General features: G+C 45.1%; 2 annotated features.

The window, feature by feature from the left end:
• Positions 3929-4429: an enhancer, noted in NCBI's record as "H3K4me1 hESC enhancer chr18:75934781-75935281 (GRCh37/hg19 assembly coordinates)". NCBI's record gives its function as "activates a minimal SCP1, AML or CMV promoter by ChIP-STARR-seq in primed H9 embryonic stem cells {active_cell/tissue: H9 hESC(primed)}" and the evidence as "EXISTENCE:reporter gene assay evidence [ECO:0000049][PMID:30033119]".
• Positions 5234-6433: an enhancer, noted in NCBI's record as "CDK7 strongly-dependent group 2 enhancer chr18:75936086-75937285 (GRCh37/hg19 assembly coordinates)". NCBI's record gives its function as "activates an origin of replication core promoter dependent on BRD2, BRD4, P300/CBP, MED14 and CDK7 cofactors, with strong dependence on CDK7, by STARR-seq in HCT116 cells {active_cell/tissue: HCT116}" and the evidence as "EXISTENCE:reporter gene assay evidence [ECO:0000049][PMID:35650434]".

The following is an 8559-nucleotide window of genomic DNA, read 5'->3' on the forward strand; positions in this document are numbered from 1 at the left end:
TCTTTCATTTCACTTTTTAATAAGTGGTGAATTCTATGAACCAATTCCCCAGGGTCACGGGATCACCTAGAATGAGGTTTCACACAGAACATTGTGAGTGCACTTGAGAAGAAAGATTTATGCAAACCACCCTGCACTTCCTTCTGAAGGAGACACGATTTTGGTTTCTGCAGAAATTTGCATGAAATATGGACCACAAGAAAACTCCATTTGTGGCTTACAGTGGTACTTCTTGAAAGTGGAATTTTATTCCCCAGCGAATGAATGAAACCTCGGAAGCGCACTGCCTCCTTGCACAAAACCACTCAGGGCGGCGTCATCTCATTCATCTCTTGCCACCGGATCCACCGTAGACTGAACAACTTCTGGACACCATGAAAGCTGAAGGAGAAAATGGGTGTGGGATCCCCGGATCACTCCCATTTGCATCCACTTGAAATCAGAATCATGGTATGAAGCCTTTGCTAAAATGCAGTTACTGACAAGCTGTTGTGAGTTTTTGTTCATTAAAAACTCCAGACTTTGCCCCTTTAATCACTTCCATCGATTGACCTAACATGGTGGCTAGTGAAGATGCTTTCTCTGACGTCCTGAGGTGAACCAAAATCTAATCCGCATTTTTGTTTTCTTTTCTATTTTTCTATTCTGCTGCCTGCAACCACGTCCAAATCGCGGCGAAATCATTGTGCACATATCAGCTGTTGAAGGTGAGGACCTGGTGCCTGCACCCGACGTGGACTTGCTTCCTCACCTGTAAGCCATGGCGGTGCAGCAGGTGAAGCACTCCAGGGACACTTTCAATGGTGTGCCACGCCTCATTTTACAAAACAAGGATGTTCTTGCAATCTGTTTTCATTGCACCTTTTAAACATCAAAAGTTCTGATGAGCCCCGTGGTTAGGAAGTATATTTACTGCATGAGAGTCATGTTCTTTCAGCACATTGCTCTCTAGCAATTCAAAATACAATTTTATTATTGCTCTTGTCTTATTTCAGAATGAAAATCTTCCTTTCATGGCGGGGGTGGGGGGTCATCTCGAGGACATGTCTCACAAAGCAAGTGGAAAGATGGTAAGAAACTACTTGATTTATCTGAGGAAAAACCTGACTCACTTTTTAAAACTCCACAATACAATATTTTAATTTGGTACCAGACACTTTTTCCTCTATGGTCTGAGGTCCTAAAAGAATAAAAGGAGAATTACGGATTTGTGTGTGTGTTTGTGTGTATGTGTGTATCTGTGTGTGTATGTGTGTATGTGTGTGTGCATGTGTGTATACGTGTGTGCATTTGTGTGTATGTTTGCATACGTGTGTGTACGTGTGTGCACGTGTGCACATGTGTGTATGTGCGTGTGTGTGTGTGTGTGTGTGTTGGGGGTGGGGAATTCTCTTTCTTCCCCCCAAAGCCACTGAATTTAGACAATGGTGGGTGTTGGGGAAATGCTGTCCTGGTGTGGTGTAGGTTTTAACTTAGTTGAATCCTCATGCTTGCAGAATGTCTCCTAACCACAGTCTTCCATGAGATGATGCCAGCACTTAGCACAGAGACACAGGCAACCAGACCTGGACAAATGAAAATCACACTGGCGGGAGGCCAGTGTAAGTGACGACTGATGGAGAGAGATGGGTAGGTACCTTGTCATCCCAGTAACCCACTTGCAGATAGAATGACCTGTAGCAAGTCCTGGGACCTCTCCAGATAGAATGACCTGTAGCAAATCCTAGGACCTCACCAGCCTTTTTGGAAACAAAAGGTTTCCACTAAGTAAATCCTTCCCTTTCGCCTGTGGCTGGTCTTCTGAGGGCATGTCGTCTTTGCTACAGAAATGATGTAAAATGCAACATCCACTAACCTAGGACCAGATCGCTTTGTATATGACGAGCAGCATTTCTGTATTTAAAAATTTTCTTTAAAATGACTTCCAATTATAGGACATGTCTACCACTTCAGCCCCCTAAGTTCAACCAAAATTCCTGGACAGCCATGAAGGAGTTTATTTTTTAAATAGGTTTACACTCATCAGTGGTTGTGTTCAGTTACCATCCTAACAACAGTGGCTTCTGTTTTCAGCGCTTCATCTTAACCCTTTCTTGGAGCAACACGTATATTACCTTAAAAATAAAATATATTTCTTCTCAGATAGTTCAACTAAATGACTTTGGGATAAAAATATGGGTTATAGCCCAAAATGTTCTTTTTTTTTTTTTTTTTTTTTTTTTTTTTGAGACGGAGTCTCGCTCTGTCGCCCAGGCCGGACTGCGGACTGCAGTGGCGCAATCTCGGCTCACTGCAAGCTCCGCTTCCCGGGTTCACGCCATTCTCCTGCCTCAGCCTCCCGAGTAGCTGGGACTACAGGCGCCCGCCACCGCGCCCGGCTAATTTTTTGTATTTTTAGTAGAGACGGGGTTTCACCTTGTTAGCCAGGATGGTCTCGATCTCCTGACCTCATGATCCACCCGCCTCGGCCTCCCAAAGTGCTGGGATTACAGGCGTGAGCCACCGCGCCCGGCCTGTTCTTAAAGATGAATCATGTTCATACTAATAGTCCTGTTTTTGTGGGTTCCATTTACAAACACTTACTGTGGTTGCATATTCCCCACCAGGGCCCAGGACAATGGTGATTCCAAGGACGCCCCTGTTTTCCAGCAGACGGGTGGTTCAGGAACCAGAATATTCTTTGAGGAGAGCTTGACATGACAGACTATAATGGCTCAAACTACTATTGAATAAATAACATGCACTTTATAACATCCCTAATTATACAATTGCACAATAGTCCATAACAGCTCCTTACGGACTACGGAGTAAATACTAAGCATTTCTAGAAGTCCATAATTATGTAATTACTTGGTAGTCTATAATTAAGGACTATTGGATAAATATATAATTGGGCAGTTTTTAAAATCTATCATAAAGTACTTTAAAAAATGTGACTGCAATAAAAGAAGGAAAAAAGAGAAACTCAGTCTCAGAAAGCCATATTTGAATCTTTTATTTTTAATAGGTCTCACTAAATCTGAATCTAAGCAATTAATGCTGAAAAAATGTTTCCCATCTCCCTTCCTGTCTTTGTCTGTTTGTAGCAGTCCCTGTTTCCTGAGGCTTGAAAAACCCGAGGGCACCCTGGCCACACACTGTGGGAGCGCGGGAACAGGAGTGCGCTATCCAGCGCGCCACAATTTCTGGAGTCAGGTGAGAGAAGTGCATTGAGTTTGGGGTGGGTGGGGGGGTGGGGGGAGGACACCTCTGTCCTGCCCATTCCCCCAGCAGCCTTCCTGCCAGTTACCCAACATTACAATGAGCAGCCACGTAGCTCGGGAATGAAGAGAAAGTGACCAGCGTTTTTCTAAGCTTTCGGCCAGAATTTGAAAAAAGCACCGGGAATGGAATGTCTAAGGTGAGGGTTTCTGAAAAGACGGACGCCTCCACGGCGTTTGCTGCCCACACTGCGAGCTCTGAATGAGGGAGGAAACTGAGATGTATATGCGAGAGGAAACACCAAACTTGTGAAATTCAACCACCTTCTGTGGCTTCTCTTTAAATCCCCCAATTTTCATCCCCATTGTGTGACCACCCACTCCGCTGGACCTGCCTGGAAGCTCCTCTCCAGCCTGGTCTTCCTTCCTGCCTGCCTTTCTGTGATTTTGCCTTGAACACTCAGACGGAGAGACACGAGGTGGCCGGCACCTGGTGGAGGAGGGGACCTGGGCATGGCTGTCCGCGCTGCTACTGGGGTCTGAGCCTGAAGCTCAATGCAGGGGATCCAGGGGGCCGGGACAGCCTGGGTCAGTGACCAGCAGCTCGAGCGACACACGGGAATCACAGAGCAGTTACTTCAGGATGATTGCTGCTGGGTTTAGTTGTGCATATTTTAAACTCTTTGCTGAAAATCTCACACTCTTGGCTCCTGCTGACCTACCTGAAACTGCACTGACTGTGACCCACTTCCTTAATTACTCCAATGTGCCCAGCTACACAAATAGCTTCTCAGCCAGACCCTGAGCACTCATCTTGCGTGCTCTGTGCCGCCGGCGTCCCCCATCGCAAATCACCCCAGGGGGCTTGAACTTAGGATTCTGTCATGGCCCCGAATCCGCCGCAGCCGGAGGGGACGGAGTCGCCGTACTGGGCACCTCTCAGGAGGAGGGAGTCAGGTCACCTGGGTGGGCAGGTGACTCACAGCTGGGTCCTCAGTCAGCGGCTGTGTGGTCAGTCAGATGCCTGAGATACAATTTCTCCGTGTAAAAAGTTTAGGAAGAGCTTCTGGAACAGGACTGTAAAATCCAATCAATAGTAGATAAGAAGAAGGGTTTGTAAAAGAAAAAAAGGAGCAACAGCAGATAAGCGTCCAGTTAGAGCATATGTGCTCTCCTCCCTTCCCGGATGCATGGGAACCACTGTGTTCCCAACACGGGCACCTGGGCTCTTACTCAGCAGATTTGGGAAACTGGAAATTGGCATTGTAATAAGCACACAGGTTCTCCTGATGCACAGAAGCTCTGAAGGTGGCCAAAGTTCTTAAACAAGTGGCTTTCCTGAGAACTTATGAAAGAAAAAAACACATAAAATGTGAGAAACAGCTGGGCACAGTGGCTCACACCTGTAATCCCAGCACTTTGGGAGGCCAAGGCTGTTGGATCACCTGAGGTCAGTAGTTCGAGACCAGCCTGGCCAACATGATGGAACCCCGTCTCTACTAAAAATACAAAAATTAGCTGAGTGTGGTGGCACGCACCTGTAATCCCAGCTACTTGGGAGGCTGAGGCAGGGGAATCACTTTAACCCAGGAGACGGCAGTTGCAGTGTGCAGAGATCACACCATTGCATTCCAGCTTGGGTGACAGAGCGAGACTCTGTCTCAAAAAAAAAAAAAGTGAGAAAGACAAGTGTATGAAAATCTGTTAATGATAAGAAGTATCCACTTTTTATGCTCTTAGGAGAAATTAAAGAGGAAGAAACTAACATTTGTGACAGGCAGAAAGCGCTCTGCCTGACTGTGCTTGAGATAACTGGGGGGTGTGTCCTAGAAGAGCGGCTGCAGGTGTGTTAAGAAGTTTTTTTTTTTTTTTTGTAGTTCATACGTTCCCTCTTCCAGGTAGGAATCTGGAAGGCCTGATGAAGAGTATTATTTAGAAAATCCTTTGAATAATCTCATGAATCACTAAATATCTATTCAAGTATTTGTTCTACTCTCTTCCCGTCTTGTATTGATCTTTTTATTATATGACCAGGGAATCACTGTTCTCCATATACTGAAGAGTCCTGTAAGAAAAAGGACAGTGCCATCCCCAAGTCAGACATTTGTGTAAGTAAGTGTTCCCTCCAAAATCACAGTCAGGCAGAACATTAGACATGCTCTTGAAATCTCTGGTCTGAGGCTCCGTAAAGAAAGAGATCAACATTAATGACTCCACCCACAACCACTTTGTCATACCTGAAGAGCCCTTGGCTTTTTAAATTCTTTTTACAGGTGTCTTAGCTCAACAGATGCCGTATTAGGAACAAACATTATGGCTCCACTATCTAGATGAGGCTGCTGCGGCTGAAGGAGTTTCAGTGACCGTGCCAACCCACGCAGTGGCAGAGGTGAGACCAGAACCCACAGGGTGACCTGCCAGAGGAGGATGTGTCTGAGAGGGAGTAGGTGTCATTAGTCATTTCACTGAAGTCAGAGGTAAAACTGGGATTGCTAGGCAAGGTGGGACATGGGGGTAACGTAAATGTCCAGGGGCTCCGGCCTTGAGACCAGAGTGCCCCGGGTAGCACAGGGACCTGCAGGAGCTGCCTCATGACACGTAACTCCAGGATCAAGCAGCTGGGCTGAGAGGGACATTTGGGGGAGTATCGGAGAATGGGGAAAAGTGTCCAGTGTCTAAAATCTTCCCACAGCTTTGACTTAACACCTCAGTGGCCAAGCCAAAGTCAAAAAAGAAAAGAGAGAGAGAGAAAGAAAAGATGCAGAGTGCAAACTTGAAAAGCCATTTGTTTCTAGATGAATTTCCTGGGCTGCAGTAACAAGTTCCTACAAACAGGGTGGTAAAAACAACAGAAATGGGTTTTCTCCAGTTCTGGAAACCAGAGTCCAAGATCAAGCTGTTGGCAGCATTGGTTCCTCCCCAGGGCACTCGGGGGAGAACCGTTCCCTGCCTGTCTTCCAGCCTCTGGTCTCTGCCTGCAGGCGCTGGTGCTGCTCGGCTTGTAAACAGGTCATTCCCATCTCTCCCTCCGTCTTCACGTGGCCTTCTTCCTTCGGTGCCTCTGGGTCGCTGTGTCTAAACTATAAGGACATCAGTCACTGTATGAGGAACCACCCTAATCCATAGAACCTCATCATAACTTGGTTGCATCTGCAAAGACATTTTTTCAAGTAAGGCCACACTCACAGTTTGCAGGTGGGCATGTGTGCTTGGGAAACAACGCCCAATGCATTACAGTTTCCCAAGAAACAAATTCTATGTGATCCACAGCAGATTCCGGACTAGTTGCCAAGTCTTCTGGGCTTGAGTCTAATTCAGGGTGAACTCAAGATTCTGATTTAATCCAGAATCATTTAAGAACCCTTTTGTAGCAAAAAAAAAAAAAAAAAATTTAGAAAAAGATTAATTTCAATATCAGGGACAATAGTGGAATTTTCCTGACTAGGTAAATCTGAGACAATGGTGGGGTTTTCCTGACTAGGGTAAGGCTAAGGCCAAACCAACTCTTTAGAGCTTCCTCAATGAATTTCCTCTTGGCTGCATCACCTAGAGCCTCCCAGAACAGAGCCCCATTTGGGGATAGACTTCAACTCCACAACCTTTGGTGGGAATTCACTGTGTGACAAGGACCATGGTGCACTGCAAAACCAACTGGCTCTGTTGATGTGATGGTGACTGGTGGACGACAATACTATGACTTATAATTGACTCAAGGCAAAACATGTTAAGCCTTCTAACTTCCAGCAGTCTTCTGTCTGCTAGCCATTTTTAAACCAATGCTATTTTGATCCAGGAAAAACAAACGTTGTAATTATTCAAAGGATGGATATAAGCCCTTCAACTTGGGGATTGGTTGCTAGTGAAGTTGTTAGGGAATCCATCTAGACCACCCATAGCCTGCTCCCCATCTACAGTGAGTGCTACCTCTAGAGGCGTCCCTGGGTGAGACCTTCCCTTCAGCACCAGTTGTGTCGTTCGTGGTCCCCTGAACACCCCAATGCCAGGGATACTCCCAATTTACTTTATTACTCATTCATTCAACCCACAGATATTATCATTTCTGTGATCAGATGCATTGTATACATATTGCAAAATTTATGCTCAAAATTAATTTCTGGAGTTTTCCAAGCCCAACTCAGTTTAAAATTACCTCTCAGTTCTCTGAGAAATAATTAAGTGCAGCAAATTCTGTTCATACGGGAGAATTATTCTGGATTTAACAGGTAAATTTTACTTAGGTAAATTAAAAACTAAAGACAGATTTTTGTGCCAGTTGCGGTGGCTCACACCTGTAATCCCAGCACTTTGGGAGGCTGAGGTGGTTGGATCACCTGAGGTCAGGAGTTCGAGACCAGCCTGACCGACGTGATGAAACCCTGTCTCTACTAAAACTACAAAAATTAGCTGGCCGTGGTGGTGTGCACCTGTAATTCCAGCTACTAGGGAGGCTGAGGCATGAGAATTGCTTGAACCCGAGAGAGAGAGGTTGCAGTGAGCCGAGATTGTGCCACCGCACTCCAGTCTGGGCAACAAGAGCGAAACTCCATCTCAAAAAACAAAACAAAACAAAAAAACAAAAACTAAAGAAAGATTTTGATATTCATCAGGTAGAATGACAGAGAAAGCTATTGATCTCTGAACTACTCTAGAAGATACAGAAGATCCTTCACAGGTTTCTGCAAGCACCCACTTCATTGTCCCACCCAACTCCTTCTCTCCTGGCTTCCCCAACCCTTGGCAGCTGCTAATCCACTCCCATCTCTAAAGACTTGTAATTTTGAGGACGTTATACAAATAAAATTGTACAGCATGTTCTCTTTTGTGACTGGCTTTTTTCACTCAGTATAATGCCCTTGAGATCTGCCCAAGTTGTTGTAGGTATCCATAGTCCATTCATGTGGATTGTTGCGCACAATTTCATGGTATGGGTGTGTCACAATTTGTTAATTATTGACATTCGACTGCAGAAGGACACCTGGGTTGTTTCCAGCTTAGGCTTGTTATGCATAAGTCTTCTCTGAACAGTCATATATAGGTTTCTGTGTGAACACGTTTCCACTACTCTGGGATAGAAGCCCAGGACTGCAGAGCTGGGTCATATAGTGAGTGGCTCTATGTTTAGTTTTTTAAGAAACTTCCAATCTATTTTCTAGAGTGTGTGCAACATTTTGTATTCCCATCATCATGAAAACCAACTCCTGCTTGCTTCTCTGAATGCTTTTTAACACTTCCACAATTATTAGGTTGCTTCCGCCGTATTTATGCTGAGCTGTGTATATCTATTTCAACCAGCTAAACCCATAGAAAACTTACAATCCATTTTAATTGAGAAGGACAGTTTCTAAATGTGAAGAAAACA

The sequence above is a fragment of the Homo sapiens genome, chromosome 18 (genome assembly GCF_000001405.40).
Source record: "Homo sapiens chromosome 18, GRCh38.p14 Primary Assembly".
Lineage (NCBI taxonomy): Eukaryota > Metazoa > Chordata > Mammalia > Primates > Hominidae > Homo > Homo sapiens.